This window comes from Homo sapiens, chromosome 19 (assembly GCF_000001405.40).
Source record: "Homo sapiens chromosome 19, GRCh38.p14 Primary Assembly".
In the NCBI taxonomy this organism is placed as follows: domain Eukaryota; kingdom Metazoa; phylum Chordata; class Mammalia; order Primates; family Hominidae; genus Homo; species Homo sapiens.
The window spans coordinates 39,231,567-39,249,860 of record NC_000019.10 but is presented as its reverse complement, the minus strand read 5'-3'; the positions used below and the strand labels follow the sequence as shown (position 1 = coordinate 39,249,860).

At 52.3% G+C, this 18,294-nt stretch overlaps 1 protein-coding gene, 1 long non-coding RNA gene and 2 pseudogenes across 4 annotated transcripts, besides 1 other annotated feature; all 4 read left to right on the top strand.

The window, feature by feature from the left end:
- On the top strand, positions 1,005 to 3,547 carry IFNL4 (interferon lambda 4 (gene/pseudogene); annotated as a pseudogene). The gene is made up of 5 exons (NR_074079.1): positions 1,005 to 1,432; positions 1,866 to 1,937; positions 2,010 to 2,153; positions 2,398 to 2,472; positions 2,630 to 3,547. The product of NR_074079.1 is annotated as an interferon lambda 4 (gene/pseudogene), transcript variant 2 (transcript).
- IFNL3 (interferon lambda 3) lies at positions 4,611 to 6,406 on the top strand. 2 transcript variants are annotated; one of them, NM_001346937.2, is made up of 6 exons: positions 4,611 to 4,793; positions 4,892 to 5,073; positions 5,367 to 5,444; positions 5,704 to 5,853; positions 5,954 to 6,037; positions 6,131 to 6,406. In NM_001346937.2, the coding sequence occupies exons 1-6, from the start codon at positions 4,784 to 4,786 to the stop codon at positions 6,227 to 6,229; spliced, it is 603 nt and encodes a 200-aa protein (NP_001333866.1). In that variant the 5' UTR covers positions 4,611 to 4,783; the 3' UTR covers positions 6,230 to 6,406. The 2 variants fall into 2 exon arrangements, with proteins under 2 accessions (NP_001333866.1, NP_742151.2); NM_172139.4 differs by lacking the exon at positions 4,611 to 4,793 and having other exon boundaries at positions 4,855 to 5,073; positions 6,131 to 6,308.
- Positions 11,950 to 12,039: a silencer, noted in NCBI's record as "silent region_10595". NCBI's record gives its function as "represses an Ori minimal core promoter by ATAC-STARR-seq in GM12878 lymphoblastoid cells {active_cell/tissue: GM12878}" and the evidence as "EXISTENCE:reporter gene assay evidence [ECO:0000049][PMID:35858748]".
- Positions 12,022 to 14,462, top strand: LOC124904717 (uncharacterized). Its single transcript, XR_007067256.1, has 4 exons — positions 12,022 to 12,263; positions 12,568 to 12,645; positions 12,905 to 13,054; positions 13,160 to 14,462. It is a non-coding gene; the product is annotated as an uncharacterized LOC124904717 (long non-coding RNA).
- On the top strand, positions 12,524 to 13,236 carry IFNL3P1 (interferon lambda 3 pseudogene 1; annotated as a pseudogene).
- Positions 14,463 to 18,294: the final 3,832 nt, after the last annotated feature.

Sequence of the window (18,294 nt, the reverse complement as noted above, 5' to 3'; positions counted from 1 at the left end):
CAGAGAGCAACTCCAGACGCAGGTGCAGATCATAAGCATGCCTCTTCATATGATGTATGTTCAGCAAATGGTGAGCGTATTTTCCTCCATGGGTAGGGAGTTTACCATGATAATTATATATTAATGATCTAAAGGTAACCGTGGGTCACTGTGTCTGGTTTGCACTTGTTTTGCCCCAGCCTTTTCTTCCTCCAGTAATAAGCAAAGGAAGCGTCCTGAAGCTCGTGTGGCCTTTCGGGCATCTGCAGTTCTTTTAATCAATGCACCCATAGATAAAGAGACTAGAAAAAAACGGTTTAAGAAAATAATGAGGCCAGGTGCAATGGATCATGCCTGTAATCCAAGAATTTTGGGAGGCTGAGGCGGGCAGATGTCTTGAGCTCAGGCGTTAGAGACCAACCTGGGCAACATGGCGAAACCAGGTTGCTACAAAAAATGGTGGTGGCACCCACCGGTAGTCCCAGCTACTATGGAGAATGAGGTGGGAGGATTGCTTGAGCCTGGGAGGTTGAGTCTGAAGTGAGCTGTGACTGCACCACTACTACAGGCTGGGCAACAAAGCAAGACTCTGTCTCTGAAATAAAATAAAATAAAATAAAATAAATTAAGCGTTCTCTTTCTCAGCTACACCTCCAGGGCTGCCCTGGTACAAAAATGAGATGATATGTCTGTGTCAATTACATAGAAGAGAGCCTGATGCACAGTCAACACTACACAAGGGCTGGTTGTGATTGCAGAACGAAGATAAAGACAACCAGGGTGAAGCAAAGAAAGAGGAAACAGACAGTAGAAACAGGGACAGAGACAATTTGGAAACCGAGTGTTGGAGGGCAGCCATCCCGGGCACAGGCCAACCTCGGGTTGAAGTCCTCACACCCGACTGGGATCCCAGAGGCCTGGGGCCAGCTCTGATGTTGGGAAAGCTTGCCCTGGACGGGAAAGCCCGGCTGCAAACCCCATTCTCAGCCCTGCGCATAAAAGCCAGCATGGACCGTCGAGGCACTGTTGCCCAGGTGGAGACGGCTCTGGACGCCTCCCAGGGGACAGTGGACGGCAGCACCTGCTGCAGCACGAGGCACAGAGGGTGCACTGCAGACAGGAGTGAGGGCAGAGGCCAAGGCGAGGAGGGGGCCGGCTCCCACTCTCTCTCCCACTGTGTGTGCTGTGCCTTCACGCTCCGAGCATTGCCTTCCCTGGGATCCTAACCCAAGGCGGGGGGCTGGACGCGCTGGACCCTCTCTTTGGCTTCCCTGACGTCTCTCGCCTGCTGCAGAAGCAGAGATGCGGCCGAGTGTCTGGGCCGCAGTGGCCGCGGGGCTGTGGGTCCTGTGCACGGTGATCGCAGAAGGCCCCCCGGCGCTGCCTGCTCTCGCACTACCGCTCGCTGGAGCCCCGGACGCTGGCGGCTGCCAAGGCGCTGAGGGACCGCTACGTAAGTCACCGCCCAGCCCCTGTGCCCCCTGGGACCCTGGCCCCACCGGGTTCCCATACACCCGTTCCTGTCCCAAGGGGTCCTGCGTCCTAGCGCCCAGCAGGCGCCTCTCCTATGTCAGCGCCCACAATTCCCACCACGAGACCCCCGCAGTCCCCGTCGTCAGCGCGAACGCAGGCTCAGGGTCAATCACAGAAGGGAGCCCTGCCGGGAGGACTCGGCTCCAGGTCGGGGCGAGGGGCTTTGCTGGGGGAGCGCGGAGTGCAATTCAACCCTGGTTCGCGCCTTCGGGGAGCTCCCTGGTTCAGTACACGACAGGCACGACCGTGCGCTGCCAGTACCCATCCACGTCCAGGAATCCCAGACTGTGCAGAGGTTAGGGGCCCTGGCGAGGGGGCCTAGCCGTATGCGATAAGCGCCGCTTGTCCCGCAGGAGGAAGAGGCGCTGAGCTGGGGGCAGCGCAACTGCTCCTTCCGCCCCAGGAGGGATCCTCCGCGGCCATCGGTGAGGCCCGGGAGTGGGCGGGAGAGGCATGGCCCGGGCGCGGCCCGCTCTAACGCCCTCTCGTCCCCGCAGTCCTGCGCTCGGCTCCGCCACGTGGCCCGGGGCATCGCGGACGCCCAGGCAGTGCTCAGCGGCCTGCACCGCTCGGAGCTGCTCCCCGGCGCCGGCCCGATCCTGGAGCTGCTGGCGGCCGCGGGGAGGGATGTGGCGGCCTGCGTGAGTGACGGCCGCGCCCCGCCGCCCCTCTCCCCCGCCAGCTTCTCTGCATCCTCAGGCCCACGGCGAGCCCCAGCGCTTTGCCAATCTGTCCTGCTTAGCGGAAAAACCCATCCAGACCGGAGTCGGGTCCTCTGGGTGTCCTGAAATCCGGGCTCGAGTCTGCGGCTGGGAGGGCCACGGGCAGATGCAGAGAGGGGCTTCGTCCTTCGCCTTTTCCATTTGCCTCATGTCCCACCTCCAGCTTGAGCTGGCACGGCCAGGCTCCTCCAGGAAGGTCCCCGGGGCCCAGAAGAGGCGTCACAAACCCCGGAGAGCGGTGAGTGCAACAGGCAATACAGGGTTAGCCCGCAGGGAGGACCAGGCGAGGCTGACAAGGACGGGACTGAGGCTGCGAGCAGCGGGACTGGAGGGGGATTCCGGGGGCGGGGGGAAGAGCCTGGCTTAGCCCCGCTGCCCTCCCTCCCTGGCTCCAGGACTCGCCTCGGTGCCGCAAAGCCAGCGTGGTCTTCAACCTCCTGCGCCTGCTCACGTGGGAGCTCCGGCTGGCTGCACACTCTGGGCCTTGCCTCTGACCCCGCCCCCTCTGGCAGCACGGAAACCTCCACGCCATTGGCTGCCGAAAGCAGCTCCTGTCGTCCATTGGGCTGGCCGGGCGAGGCTCTCAGTCAATGGGTGCTGAGGCACGAAAACTTCTTCGCAGCCTTGGGCCTGACTTGGATCCACTGTCTCAGATATAAGAGGAGCGGGTCCTTCTACAGGGAAGAGACCACAGTTCTCCAGGAAGCCACGATATTTCCTCGGGGTGCATTGTACGACCCTCCAACGGTTGCTGTGGCAGGAAAAAACTTGAGCTCTGGAAACCGTGGCTGACCCCAGGCAACAGGGACCAGTTCCTCCTTGTGTGGTTACCAGGACACCCCCAACACCAGGTCCTAACCCCGGATTTGTAGCCCCACAGCCAGCTTTGAGATTCTGTGAATCCGTGACTCTTGGATCCGGCATCTAAGGGACACCAATCCATGAGGGATTTGGTAGTGAAAGGCCCAAGGGTCCTTAACCGACTGTGGTTCTTTGGATTCCCTTACGTGTGTTTGTATTTGTGAAGTTCCTGTGCATTTGCTATTCTGTCTCCCGGTTTAAATTTATTGCCAGTTATCAAAGAGTGTTTTGATCGCATTGGTTGTTTTCCGTATGATGATTGTGAGGTGCACCTTACAGCAAAAAAAGAGGCCGAGCCAGGGACTCAGGTGGCCTGAGTTTCAGTTCTGACCCTGCCAGTTAATTACAGTGGAATTCAGGGCAAATTACTTTTCTGAGCCTCTGTTTCCTCACCTATAGGATGGGTTAGCATACTTGCCTTGTGGAGGAGTAGTGTCCGTTGAGATCACGTTTTAAACTCTCCAGCTGAGGTCCTAGTATGGTCTTAATGAGTGGATTCTATTAAATAATCACTCACATAAATACACAAACAATTGTGTTATTAATTTTTTCTCCAAATCTGTGCATTAGCAATCTGCGTTGCTGAATGCACCCCTCCTTGCCAAGGTCACACGGCTAGTGAGGGTCAGAACCAGGTTTGAACCCCAGACCCTTCATCTCCAAGACCCATGCTCTTCACCACTGCCTGAACTTCCCTAAGAAAGACGGCACCCACGTGGTGTCCTTCAAGTCCTTCGTCACACCTCAATTCTTGAGCAGAGCCTCATATTCCTGAGTCCTTCCTTGCCTGGGCAATTAAGAAATATTGGCCTCTGGGCATGGTGGCTCACACTGAAATCCCAGCAATTTGGGAGGCCTAGACAGAGAGATGACTTGACATCAGGAATTTGAGACCAGCCTTGCCAACATGGTGAAACGCCATCTCTACTAAAAATATAAAAATTAGCTGGGAATGGTGGCACAAATCTGTAATCTCAGCTACTTGGGAGGCTAAGGCAAGAGAATTGCTTGAACCCAGGAGGCGGAGGTTGCAGTTAGCCAAGATTTTGCACTGCACTCCAGCCTGGGTGACCGAACAAGACCCTGTCTCAAAATATATATATATATATATATATATATATGCCAGGAGTGGTGGCTCAGGCCTGTAATCTCAGCACTTTAATAGGCTGGGTGAGGAGGATGGCTTGAGCCCAGGAGTTTGAGGCTGCAGTGAGCTGTGATCATGCCATTGCACTGCAGTGACAGAGTGAGACCCTGTCTTAAACAACAACAAAACCAGAGCAGGTGGAATCCTCTTGGGAACATACCTTCCTGTAGGTTACCCCTGAGTCTCCATCAGTTTCTCTTTCCCTCCAGCTGCTCATCTGGCTCACTAGCCCTGCCCTGCTCTGGGCTTTCCCAGCCTGGGGCTCCCCTGGTGGCCGGTGTCTTACCTGAGGCTGTGTTTTCACTTTTCCTACATCAGCTGGGACTGCCCTTCTGTCAGGGATAAAAGCTGCCCCATGGAGCTCAGGCAGGAATTACATCCCAGACAGAGCTCAAAACTGACAGAAAGAGTCAAAGCCAGGACACAGTCTGAGATCCAGAAGAGGGGACTGAAAAGAACAGAGACTCCAGACAAGACCCAAACAGACCCTGGGTGACAGCCTCAGAGTGTTTCTTCTGCTGACAAAGACCAGAGATCAGGAATGAAACTAGGTGAGTCCCACATCTCTGTCCGTGCTCAGCTCCTGCAGCCCCTGCCCTCAGTGGGCAGCCTCTGCATTCCCTCAGCTCCCTTTCTCTCTGTGACACAGACATGACCGGGGACTGCATGCCAGTGCTGGTGCTGATGGCCGCAGTGCTGACCGTGACTGGAGCAGTTCCTGTCGCCAGGCTCCGCGGGGCTCTCCCGGATGCAAGGGGCTGCCACATAGCCCAGTTCAAGTCCCTGTCTCCACAGGAGCTGCAGGCCTTTAAGAGGGCCAAAGATGCCTTAGTGAGTCTCCCCCTGCCCTCCTGCCATGGACTAGCCTCCACCCGCACTCCAAGGGTCACCATGCTTTCCCACTCCCAGCTTCCTTCACTGGGCTAGCCTCCACCCTCCCTGCAGTGGGCTATCTCATGCTCCTACTGCAGGGACTGACTCATGTTTTCCTGAAGAAGAGGGTCCTCTACCATCCTCCCAGCAGTTAACCTCCCCTATCCTGTTGTCAGCCATCCTCCAATCCCATCAGAGTGGTCTAACCTCCACCCCTCCTGCTGGGGCTAACCTGTGCCTTTGCTGTCTAGGAAGAGTCGCTTCTGCTGAAGGACTGCAAGTGCCGCTCCCGCCTCTTCCCCAGGACCTGGGACCTGAGGCAGCTGCAGGTGAGAGGGGGAGTCAGGCCCACCCCTGCCCTCCCAGCCCTGCTCACCTGGCTCTGTAGTGGCCCCTTCACCTTCTCCTTCTCCATTGTCCCTCTCTCCTCTCCCCACACCTGCTACCCCTTCCCTCTGCTCCTACCTGACCACACTGGCTGTGCCCTCTCCCCTGTGCCTGTCACCTTCACTTGTTCCTCTCTATCCTCCTCCCCCAACCTGTTCCCCTCACCTCCCCCCTCACCTGCTCTTTCTCACCTCTCCTCAGGTGAGGGAGCGCCCCGTGGCTTTGGAGGCTGAGCTGGCCCTGACGCTGAAGGTTCTGGAGGCCACCGCTGACACTGACCCAGCCCTGGGGGATGTCTTGGACCAGCCCCTTCACACCCTGCACCATATCCTCTCCCAGCTCCGGGCCTGTGTGAGTCGTCAGGGCCCGGGCACCCAGGTCTGTGAGCTCTGAGCAGCGTCCTTCCCCTGGCCAAGGCCCCGGCTCACACACCGCCCTCCTCTGCCCACAGATCCAGCCTCAGCCCACGGCAGGGCCCAGGACCCGGGGCCGCCTCCACCATTGGCTGCACCGGCTCCAGGAGGCCCCAAAAAAGGTGAGTGACCCGGGAAGAGAGGGACTGAGGTCTGGGGAGCCACTGGGAGCCCAGAACCCAGACAGCCCCTGACCCATCCCCTCCTCCCTACAGGAGTCCCCTGGCTGCCTCGAGGCCTCTGTCACCTTCAACCTCTTCCGCCTCCTCACGCGAGACCTGAATTGTGTTGCCAGCGGGGACCTGTGTGTCTGACCCTTCCGCCAGTCATGCAACCTGAGATTTTATTTATAAATTAGCCACTTGGCTTAATTTATTGTCACCCAGTCGCTATTTATGTATTTGTGTATGTAAATCCAACTCACCTCCAGGAAAATGTTTATTTTTCTACTTTTTGAAATCCTTGTTGAAATAAACAATGAGGAAAAGACACCCATGACGTGGGACTGTGTGTGCGTTGGTGTGTATTTCCTTTGCATTGCTGCCATAACAAATTACCCTAAAAGTAGCATCTAGAACAGCAGGTTCATTGAGTCTGTGCTGTCCACTGGGGTCCCCAGGTCACATGTCACTATCGAGCACCTGGAATGTAGGTGGTGCAACCTCATTTTTTCAGTGAGTGTAAAACATACCCCAGAATTTGAAGATTTACTGTGGAGAAAAAAAAAAAAGTAAAACAGCTTAATTATAATTTATATATTCATTAGATGTTGAAATGATAGCACTTTGGATGTATTGGGTGAAATGAAGCATCTTTAAAATTAATTTAGAGCCTGGATGTGATTGCTCAAGCCTGTAATCACAGCACTTTGGGTGGCTGAGTTGGGAGGATCACTTGAGCCCAGACCAGCCTGGGCAACATAGCAAGATCCTGTCTCTATAAAAAATTAGAGAATTGGCTGGGTGTGGTGGCACAAGCCCATAATCCCAGCTACTGGTGGAAGCTGAGATGGGAGGACTGTTTGAGGTCAGGAGTTCACGACCAGCCTGAGCAACAGCAAGATCCTGTCTCTTGCGTGATCACATCTCACTGTAGCCTCAAACTCCTGGGCTCAAGTGATTCTCTCTCCTCGGCACCATCCTCCACCCTCTCCAGCCCCTCCCCGAACTGGGATTACAGGCTTGAGTCACCGGGTCCAGCCCATTCTCTTTCCAAGAAGCCCCTGAATTGTATAAGCAAACATGAGGTCTCACTAACCCTGGATAAGCCCCTACAGATGAGGAGGACAACTTGGATCAGGGACCCCTGCTGAGTAGAGTTGGCTGAGCTGCTGGAACAAAGAGTCCCCCAAATACAGTGATCATGAATTACAAACCACAGAGTGTCATTCTCCACCAGCTCCTCCTCCCAAGGTGAGCGCTCCCCCTGGCAGGATGGCCCCACTCAGTCATCCAGGGGCCCTGGTTCCTGGCAGTTCTGTGCTCCACAGTCCCCGGGACAGGGCTCCCTCATCATCTTCACCCACCGGACCTCACGGCAGCCTTGAAAAGCCTACGGACCCTTCTCAGAAGGAAAGAACACGTGCAGGACAAAGGAATCCAACTCTGATTGTAATACAGTGATCAAAATATTTTTTCACACTGTGACATAGCAATTCATGTGCTTCTTCATGAATGCATTAAGTAAAAAATCACCTGTGGCAGCTTTAATAACCACTGTGACTTAGAAGCAGAGATGAGCATAAATGACATTTCAAGGTGCCTGCTGGAAGATAACGTGATAGGAAATGCCTGTGATTTCTTTTGGTAACAGTCACAAGTTCTGCTAACACTGCTGTGGTGTGTTGCTGCATTTGTAATGGATTCGTGCTAGATGCAAGACTGGTCCCCAGAGATGTTCCTGATTCCTGGACCTGGGAATATGTTATGTTCCATGGCACGAGGGACTCTGCAGATGTGAGTAAGTTAAGGGTTTGGGATGGGGGCGTTATCCTGGGTTGTCCACCTGGACCCAATGTCATCACAAAAGTCCTTCTAAGAAGGAGGCCGGGGTCAGCATCATTAGCGGAAGATGTAACCACAGAAACAGGACATTGGAGTGATGTCAGGAAGGGAACCGGGGTCAAGGGATGCTGGACACCCCCAGAGGCTGAGAAAGGAGAGAGATCTCCCCTGCTGCTTCCAGAAGGAACCCGCTCTGCTGACATCTTGACTGTCAGAACTGTAGGAATAGAAATGTGCATGCATTTTGTTTTGTTCTTTTTGTTCAGGTAATTTAAATATTTTTTTTAATTGTGGGAAACCCACAAAATGTACCATCTTATCCTTTCTAAAGCACATTGTTCAGTAGTGCAATTTTATTATTTATTTATTCTATTTTTTTTTTTTTGAGACAGGACCTTGCTCTGTCACCCTGGCTGGAGGGCACTGGCATGATCATAGCTCATTGCAGCCTCGACCTCCTAGGCTCAAGTGATCCTCCCACCTCAGCCTCCTGAGTAGCTGAGACTACAGGTGTGTGCCATTAGCCAGTCAGATGCCTGGCTAATTACTGTATTTTTAGTAGAGATGGGGTTTTGCCATGTTGGCCAGGTTGGTCTCGAACTCCTGACCTCAAGTGATCTGCCCCCCTTGGCCTCCCAAAGTGCCGGGATTACAGGTCTGGTCCTAGTGGTGTTTGCTACATTGTTCGGCAAGCAATCTCCAGAACTCTCTTCATCTTACAAAATTGAATCTCTGTACCCATTAAACAACAACTTCCTATTAACCCCTCCCGCTACCCCGGCAAATATTTAGACACGTCTGTTTCTAGGAATTTGACTTCTCTCAGCACCTCATGTAGGGGGAATCATACAGCATTTGTTCTTTTGAGACTGGCTTATTTCACTGACATAATGTCTTCAAAGTTCATTTTTATTGTAGCATGTGTCAGAACTTCCTTCCCTCCTCTTGCTCTCTTTTTTTTTTTTTTTTTTTTTGAGACAGAGTTTCGCTCTTGTTGCCCAAGCTGGAGTGTAGTGGCGCGATCTTGGCTCACTGCAACCTCCACCTGCTGGGTTCAAGTGAATCTCCTGCCTCGGCCTCCCGAGTAGCTGGGATTACAGGTGTCTGCCACCACACCCAGCTAATTTTTTGTAGTTTTAGTAGAAATGGGGTTTCACCATGTTAGCCAGGTCGGTCTCGAACTCCTGATCTCAGGTGATCCACTGGCCTTGGCCTCCCAAAGTGCTGGGATTACAGGCATGAGCTACCGCGCCTGGACTCTCTCTCTCTGTCTTTAAGTTTAGAGACAGGGTCTTGCTCTGTTACCCAGGCTAGAGTACTGTTGTGCAATCAGCTCACTGCAGCCTCAAATTCCTCAGCTCAAGTGATCCTCCTGCCTTAGCTTCCTGAGTAGCCAGCACTACAAATGTGTGCTACCACATCTGGCTAATTTTTAAATTTTTTATAGAGACGAGGCCTCAGTATGTTGCCCAGGCTGATCTGGAACTCCTGGATTCAAGCGATCCTCCTGCTCCGGCTTCCCAAAGTGCTGGGATTACAGGTGGGAGCCACCGCACCCGGCCAGAATTTTCTGCCTTTTGAAGGCTGAATCATATTCCATCATATGTGTAGACTATATTTTGCCCATCCGTCTATCCATCCCTGGAAAGTCTGAGTTGTTTTACCCCACTAAGTTGGGGGTCATTTGTTACAGCAGGTGTAAGAAACATACATTCAGGAAATATCAAATTTCAGACAGAGGTTAGTGAGAATACACATAGTTTTTCCGCCCTTCCAAATCCACAGGCCCAGGAATTCTTCTGCCAGGTTAGAAGCCCTGTCCTGGAGTTTGTTCTCACCTGTACAGCAGGATTCGGCTCTCAGACATGTCCAGTTTTTCAGTGGTGACAATAGGAAACAGAGCAGGGACCACCCACCCTGTGTTTTAAGGCCTAGATGGTGGTGATGGGTTAGTCACATGGTCATCCCTAGCATGCAGGATGCTAGAGAATGTAGTCTTGGGTTTGGTGGCCAGTACTAGTCTCCATATCTAATAATGCTGAGGATGGAGGGGCAAGAGGGTTTCGGAGCACATGTGCACATGGCAAGATCAGCCCCCAGGTTTCCTCAAGGGACTCCCTGGATGGGCAGAATTCAGGTGACCAAGGACTCAGAAAAGTATCTTCAAAGTACTCAATACCTCTGGTCAGCACGGTAGCTCAGGTCTGTAATCCCAGCACTTTGGGAGGCTGAGGTGGGAGGGTCACCTGAGGTCAGGAGTTCCAGACCAGCGTGGCCAACAAGGTAAGACCCCCATCTCTACTAAAAATACAAAAATTAGCCAGGTGTGGTGGCGGATGCCTGTATGAAAATACACACGGTTTTCCCTGCCCTTCCAAATGAAAATACACATGGTTTTCCCTGCCCTTCCAAATCCACAGGCCCAGGAATACACATGGTTTTCAGCTACTCAGAAGGCTGAGGCAGGAGAATCACTTGAAGCTGGGAGGTGAAGGTTGCAGTGAGCTAAGATCGTGCCACTGCACTCCAGCCTGGGCGACAGGCAACAGAGCGAGACTCCATCTCAAAAGAAAAAAAAAAAGAAAAACTCAAAACCTCTGAAGGCAGGAGGTGCAGGGGTTAAGGCCTGGGTGTCAGGGAAAACTCAGACTGCTCTTAGCACATACCTGCTGTGTAAACTTGGCCAAGTCTCTTAACCTCTCTGAGTACCAGCTTCTTCATTTTCAAGGTAGAAGAAAGCATGGTACCTTTCTCAGAGGTGTTGGGAGAATTCACTGCTCTTGCATGTGTAAAGCCTCCGGGACAGGGTGGCATCCGTTAGAGAAACTTGTCGTTGTCCTCACTTTGCACTGGCTGTTCCCGTTGCCTAGAATGCTGTTCCCTCCCTCCTCCTTTAGGTTTTCAACTAGATGTCCCCTTCTCTGGCTGCCTTAGAGCAGGCAACTTCTTCTGGGTTCAGCCGGCTCCATCTGCAGCATAATTTTTCTCAAAAGCGCTTCTTTCAGTGACATTGTACATATTTAACTTATTTGTTACTGCCTGACTCTCCCACTGGTATGTCAGCTCCTCGAGAGACAGGGAATTTTGTGTATTTTGTTCTCTGCTGGGCCCTCAGTGCACAGGACAGTGTTGGCCCATAGTTCCTGCTCAATAAATACTTTTTGAACCAATGACAGATTCAATGAATGAATAAAGGAATGGGTCTGTTACAATCAACCTGCTTCCTTTGAAGCCCTCAGCTGTACCTGAATTCCTGAGTAGACACTGTCACTCCCCTGTTCCTGCCTCCCCCACCCCCCAACTGATGGCAGGTTGGGGAGAGTTGGGAGTGCAGGGAGGGCTCTCCTTTTTTCCCTTGAGACGAGGTCTAGCTCTGTCACCCAGACTGCAGTGCAGTGGTGCAATCATGGCTCACTGCAACCTTGAACTCCAGGGCTCAAGTGATCCTCCTGCCTCAGCCTCCGGAGTAGCTGGGACTACAGGGGCACACCACCATGCCTGGCTAGTCGAAAAAAATTTTTTTTTGTAGTGACGGGGGTCTTGCTATGTTGCCCAGGCTGGTCTCAAATTCCTGACTTCAAGTGATCCTCCTGCCTTGGCGTACCAAAGTGGCCTGTCCTTTTCTTTATACTCTGTGGTCTTGGCCTCACTGACTCCGTCCTCCCATCCCCACAGTATCCCTTTCCCTGGGTGGTCTCCCCTACCCTAAGCAGTCTCCTTCTAGAGTCCCCCCTTCCACCCCTCAGGGAAATACTTCCCGGGTTTCCCTCAGCCACCCCCCTCCACATCTGAGCAATCTGCAGATACACAAGCCCCTCACCCGCCCCCTCAAACCCTAGTCCTGCCCTGGGGGCACCCGTGGCTCCTCCTCCTGAGCTGAAGCTGCTACAGCCCCAGGCATGTGTGGTTCAGGAAGTCACCTTCCTGTAGGCGAACACAGAGCCTGGCCCGGGCACGTGTCACTTTCTCTTTCCCCAGGGGCAGCTGCGGCACCTGGCCCCGCCCTGCTCTGGACTTCTCCAGCCTGGGCCTCCCCCACCCCACCCCCTCCGGTGCCTCAGGCCGCTCTGCACCCGTGGGACTGGCCTCTGTCCCAGCTAAACAGTGTGCCCTGGAGCTCAGGCAGGAATGATACCCCAGACCGAGCTGGAAATCAGAAACAGCCAAACCCAGAGCAGCAGGTGGAGATCCAGAAGAAGAGACCGAAGCCAGAGACTTTGAATAAGACTGAATAGAGACCCAAAGCCGTGGAGCCCAGGACACTGCATCCCCCTGGTGAAAAAGGCGCAGGAACCAGACAGGAAGTCCATGCAGCTCAGGCTTTAATAGACAGAACGAGGCCTGTGTGAGTCTCCCCCTGCCCCTCCTGCCGTGGGCTAGCCTCCATCACCCTCTATGGGTCACCATGCTGACTTTGTTGAGCGAAGACCTCCAGCTTCCTTCACTGGGCTAGCCTCCACCCTCCCTGCAGTAGGCTATCTCATGCTCCTACTGCAGGGACTGACGCATGTTCTTCTGTAGAAGAGGGTCCTCTACTATCCTCCCACCAGTTAACTTCCCTATCCTGTTGTCAGCCATCCTCCAATCCCATCAGAGTGGTCTAACCTCCACCCCTCCTGCTGGGGCTAACCTGTGCCTTTGCTGTCTAGGAAGTGTCGCTTCTGCTGAAGGACTGCAGGTGCCGCTCCCGCCTCTTCCCCAGGACCTGGGACCTGAGGCAGCTGCAGGTGAGAGGGGGAGTCAGGCCCACCCCTGCTCTCCCAGCCCCACTCACCTGGCTCTGTAGTGGCCCCTTCATCTTCTCCTTCTCCCTTGTCCCTCTCTCCTCTCCCCACACCTGCTCCCCCTTCCCTCTACTCCCACCTGACCACACTGGCTGTGCCCTCTCCCCTGTGCTTGTCACCTTCACTTGTTCCTCTCTATCCTCCTCCCCCCATCTGTTCCCCTCACCCGCCCCCTCACCTGCTCTTTCTCACCTCTCTTCAGGTGAGGGAGCGCCCTGTGGCTTTGGAGGCTGAGCTGGCCCTGACACTGAAGGTCCTGGAGGTCACCGCTGATGCTGATCCGGCCCTGGGGGATGTCCTGGACCAGCTCCTTCACACCCTCCACAACATCCTCTCCCAGCTTGGGGCCAGTGTGAGTCCTCGGGGCCCGGGCACCCAGGTCTGTGGGCTCTGAGCAGCATCCTTCCCCTGTGGTGGCCCAGGCCCCGCCTCACACACCGCCCTCCTCTGCTCACAGATCCAGCCTCAGCAAGGCCCAGGCCCCGGGGCCGCCTCCACCACTGGCTGCACCAGCTCCAGGAGGCCCCGAGGAAGATGACAGACCCGGGTCCTTTGGGTCCTGGGGGAGGATGGCAGGTGCACGAATTAGTGTCTCCCCAACAGAGTTCTGGGGCTCCTCGTGCCTCCACTGTCTTGAACCTTCCCCTTCCCTTCTCCTTTTTTTTTTTTTTTTTTAAGAGAGACATACACTATCACCCAGGCTGGAGTGCCGTGGTGAGGTCCTAGCTCACTGCAGCCTCTAACTTCTGGGTTCAAACGATCTTCCCTGCTAGCCCTCCCACATCACTGGAATTATAGGCATGAGCCACCACACCTGGCCTTTTCTGCCTCTCTATTTGGGACCTGAAGTGTGTGGCCAGTGGAGACCCGTGTGTCTGCCCCTGAGACCCACCTGCCATCTGTCTGTTTTAGTCTGTTTTCTGTTGCTTACAACAGAATATCTGAAACTGGGTAATTTATAAAGAAAAGGAATTTATTCCTTACAGTTCTGGAGGCTGAGAACGGCAAGGTCGAGAGGCCTCATCTGCTGAGGGCCTTCTTGCTGGTGGGGACTCTGCAGGGCCCTAAGGTGGTGCAAAGCATCACAGGGCGAGGGCACCAAGCATGCCAACTCAGGTCTGTCTTCCTCTTCTTATAAAGCCACCAGTTGGCTCACACCTGTAATCCCAGCATTTTGGGAGGCCAAGGTGGGTGGATCACTTCAGGTCAGGAGTTTGAGACCATCCTGGCCAACATAGTGAAACCCTGTCTCTACTGAGAATACAAACAAATTAGCTGACTGTGGTGGCTCAAGCCTGTAATCCCAGCTACTCAGGAGGCTGAGGCAGGAGAATCGCTTGAACCCTGGAGGTGGAGGTTGCATCGAGCCAAGATCATGGCACTGCGCTCCAGCCTGGGTGACATAGCGAGACTCTGTCTAAATAAATGAATAAATAAATAGAGCCACCAGTGCCACCCTCATAGTAACACATCAACCCATTAATCCATTAGTCCACGAATCCATAATCCAATCACCTCTTAGAAGCCACACCTCTTAATTCTGCCACACTGGGGATTTGGTTTCCACATGAGCTTTGGAGGAGATAAATATTCAAACCATAGCACCATCCATTACCTTAGGTATGTATGCACCAACTACCTTGCCTAGATTACCACCTCCAGATCCCTATTTGTTTGTGAAGCCCCCAAAAAATGTTTGCTCTTGTTCTTTTTATACAATTTGTGACAACAAACAATAAGAAATTTGTCTGTGACATTGACCTTGCTTGTATATGTGACTTTATTAATGACTGAACGCCACTTGTCTGCATATGTGACTGTAGCTGTACGTGTTTGTGTGTGTGTGTGTGTGTGTGTGTGCGTGTTTGTGTGTGTGTGTGTGAGACAGAGGAGAGAGAAAGCTGGGCAGGATGGCTTATGCCTATTATCCCAGTACTTTGGGAGGCCGTCCTGGGAAGATTGCTTGAGCACAGGAGTTTGAGACCAGCCTGGGCAACATAGCAAGACTCCAATCTCTATAAAAAATAAAGAATAAAAAAAATTAGCCTGGCATGGTGGTGTGCACTTGTAGTCCCAGCTACTCAGGAGGCTGAGGCAGGAGGATCACTTGAGCCAGGGAGGTCGAGGCTGCAGTGAGTATGATCCCACTACCGCACTCCAGCCTGGGTAATGGAGTGAGACCCTGGCTTTTTGTTATTTTTGTTTTTATTTTTATTTTTTTGAGACAGGATCTCACTCTGTCCCCCAGGCTGGAGTGCAGTGGTGCCATCTCAGCTCACTGCAACCTCCGCCTCCTGAGTTCAAGCGATTCTCCTGCCTCAGCCTCCTGAGTTGCTGGGACTACAGGTGTGTGCCACCATGCTGGCTAATTTTTGTATTTTTGGTAGAGACGGGGTTTTGCCATGTTGGCCAGGCTGGTCTCGAACTCCTGGCCTCAAGTGATCCACCCACCTTGGCCTCCTAAAGTGCTGGGATTACAGGCATGAGCCGCTGCATCCAGCTGACCCCTCCTTTAAGAAAAAAAAAGAAAAGAAAAAGAAGAAAGGGAGAGAGAAAGAGGGAGGGACAGAGAGTAAGAATATGAAAGAATGAATGAAGAGTGAAAAAGTCACTAAGGATGCTTTCAGTTACAAGTTGTGGAAGATTTAATTGCAAATGACTTAAACATCACAAGCAGTCATTAGGCCAACTAATAAGATGTCCAGAGGGAGGCTGTGCCTGGGTCAGAGCAGCAGGAAAATGGCATCATCATGGACCGAGGATCTGCATGTATGAGTGTATGTCTTATCTTATTTTAAAAAGTCTTTTTACTACTTTTTTTTTTTTTTGAGACAGAGTCTCACTCTGTCTCCCAGGCTGGAGTGCAGTGGCACAAGTTTGGCTCACTGCAACCTCTGCCTCTGGGGTTCAAGCAATTTTCCTGCCTCAGCCTCCTGAGTAGCTGGGATTACAGGCTCCCACCACCACACCAGGCTGATTTTTGTATTTTTAGTGGAGAAGACAGGGTTTCGCCACGTTGGCCAGGCTGGTCTCAAACTCCTGACCTTGTGATCCACCCATCTCGGCCTCCCAAAATTCTGGGATTACAGGTGTGAGTCACGGCACCTGGCCTACTATTATTTTTTTTACATTTTATTTTTTGCATTTTGTTTTTTACATTTACATTTTTTTTTACATTTTTACATTGCCCAGGCTGGTCTTGAATTCCTTTGCTCAAGTGATCCTCCTGCCTCAGCCTCCCAGAGTGCTGAAATTACAGGTGTGAGCCACCGTGTCCAGCCAGTGTGAGTGTATTGCTAAGGACGTGTCAAACTTGTGTTTGTGCCTCATTCACCCATAACCTCCTGTAGTTCTAAACCTGAGGTGACTATTGTCAGGGTGGGGACCTCTTGGGAGGAATGTCACAGAGTTGTCATCAAAAAGTCATTTTTGATGAGTTAGGTAGGTTAGAATTGCAAGCAATAGAAACCCACTCAAGCTAGCTTAAATGAAAAGAGGAATGTAGTACAAGGTTAAAGGCTGTGTTAAAGAATCTAATAGAAAACATTTTGGCACTATCTTGTCGAATATATGCAGATTGCATGAGCCAGAAATTCCAAATCTAAGATATATCAACAGAAACTCTTATACACATGCAATAGAGACACAGGTGGTACAAGAATGTTCTTTGAGGAAAAAGGTGACTTGGTCGGGCGTGGTGGCTCACACCTGTTACTCGGGAGGCTGAGGCAGGAGAATCGCTTGAACCTGGGAGGTGGAGGTTGCAGTGAGACAAGATCACACCATTGTACTCCAGCCTGGGTGACAGAGTGAGACTCCATCTCAAAAAAGAAGAGGTGGCTCACACCTGTAATCCCAGTACTTCGGGAGGCCAAGGTGGGAGGATAATTTGAGGCCAGCAGTTCAAACCTTGGCAATATGGCAAGACCCTGTCTCTATTAAAAAAAAAATACAAAAATTAGGTGGGTGGGGTGGCACATGCCTGTAGTCCCAGGTACTCAGGAGGCTGATGTGGGAGGATTGCTTGAGCCCTGGGAGGTGGAGGTTGCAGTAAGTCATCATCAAGCTACTGCCCTCCAGCATGGGTGACAGAGCAAGATCCTATCTCAAAAAAAAAAAGAATATTCTTTGCAGTGTTTGTTGTAACAGCAAAAAATTAGAATCAACCCAAATAGCTGCTAACAAATGAATCACTGAAATGAGGGGTGTGGAATACCATGCAGCAGGAACATGAACTACCACACATTTCCACATGGATAAATCTTAGCACTGTGGCAACCAAAGAGGAGTGCCACCAGGATGGAGTGCAGTGGCATGATCTTGGCTCACTGCAACCTTCACCGCCCGGGTTCAGGCAATTCTCGTGCCTCAGCCTCCCAAGTAGCTGGGATTACAGGCGTGTGTATTTCTTTTCTGAGACGGAGTTTTGCTCTTGTTGCCCAAGCTGGAGTGCAATGGCACGATCTCAGCTCACTGCAACCTCCGCCTCCCAGGTTCAAGCAATTCTCCTGCCTCAGCCTCTCGAGTAGCTGGGATTACAGGCATGTGCCACTACGCCCAGCTAATTTTTTGTATTTTTAGTAGAAACAGGGTTTCACCATGTTAGCCAGGCTGGTCTCGAATTTCTGACCTCAGCTGATCCTCCCACCTCAGCCTCCCAAAGTGCTGGGATTACAGGCATGAGCCACCGCCCCCGGCCGTGTGTGTATTTTTAATAGAGGTGGGGTTTCCTCATGTTGGCCAAGCTGGTCTTGAACTCCTGACCTCAAGTGATCAGCCTCTTTCAGCCTCCCAAAGTGCTGGGATTACAGGTGTGAGCCACTGAGCCCAGCCATCCCTTCAAAAAAGACCGTGCCATTCTGTTGCAAGCAGGGCAGTGCCTTCAGGATCTGCATCAGCTTTTGAGCCAAGACCTGGGGAAGACATCAGTGATTATTGAGCATGGCTTCTCAGATCAGGCCGTGCCTACCCAATGGGAGGCTCCTCTAATGAATGACCTGTGTTCTGAGCTCCCTGTGGCATTGGTCAACATTGCCAGAAATGCATCTTATTCAGGCCAGGCATGGTGGCTCACACCTGTAATCCCAGCACTTTGGGAGGCCCAGGTGGGAGGATCACTTGAGGCCAGGAGTTTGAGAACAGCCTGGATAACACAGCAAGACTCCGTGTCTACAGGAAAAAAAATAATATCACATTCTGAGCCTTTCCCTGCCCAATCCCACCTCACCTTTTTCCTCTCCCAGATGAATCAGATCAACATCATGGTCTCAGGCTCCTCCTGCCAGATTCTATTTCCTCCCCCTTGTATTTCTTTAGGCATCACCTACCAAAAAACTTCACACCCCTAGCTCTGTCTTAGCATCTAATGCCAACAGACGCAGGAATACAATGTTGAGTTCAAACACCAACCTATAGAAGACTACATATAATAAAATAACATTTTTGTAAGGCTCAACAACAAAACGACCCACTCTAGTGTGGTTAAACAGAAGGAAAAATCAATGGAAGGATAACACAACACAAAACAAAAAGTCAGAGGCCGGGTGTGGTGGCTCACGCCTGTAATCCCAGCACTTTGGGAGGCCGAGGCGG

Coding starts and splice junctions, on each gene's coding strand:
- IFNL3 (NM_001346937.2), top strand. Junction 5,074..5,366: donor AGAGGGCCAAAGATGCCTTA/GTGAGTCTCCCC, acceptor TTTGCTGTCTAG/GAAGAGTCGCTTCTGCTGAA. Junction 6,038..6,130: donor TCCAGGAGGCCCCAAAAAAG/GTGAGTGACCCG, acceptor TCCTCCCTACAG/GAGTCCCCTGGCTGCCTCGA.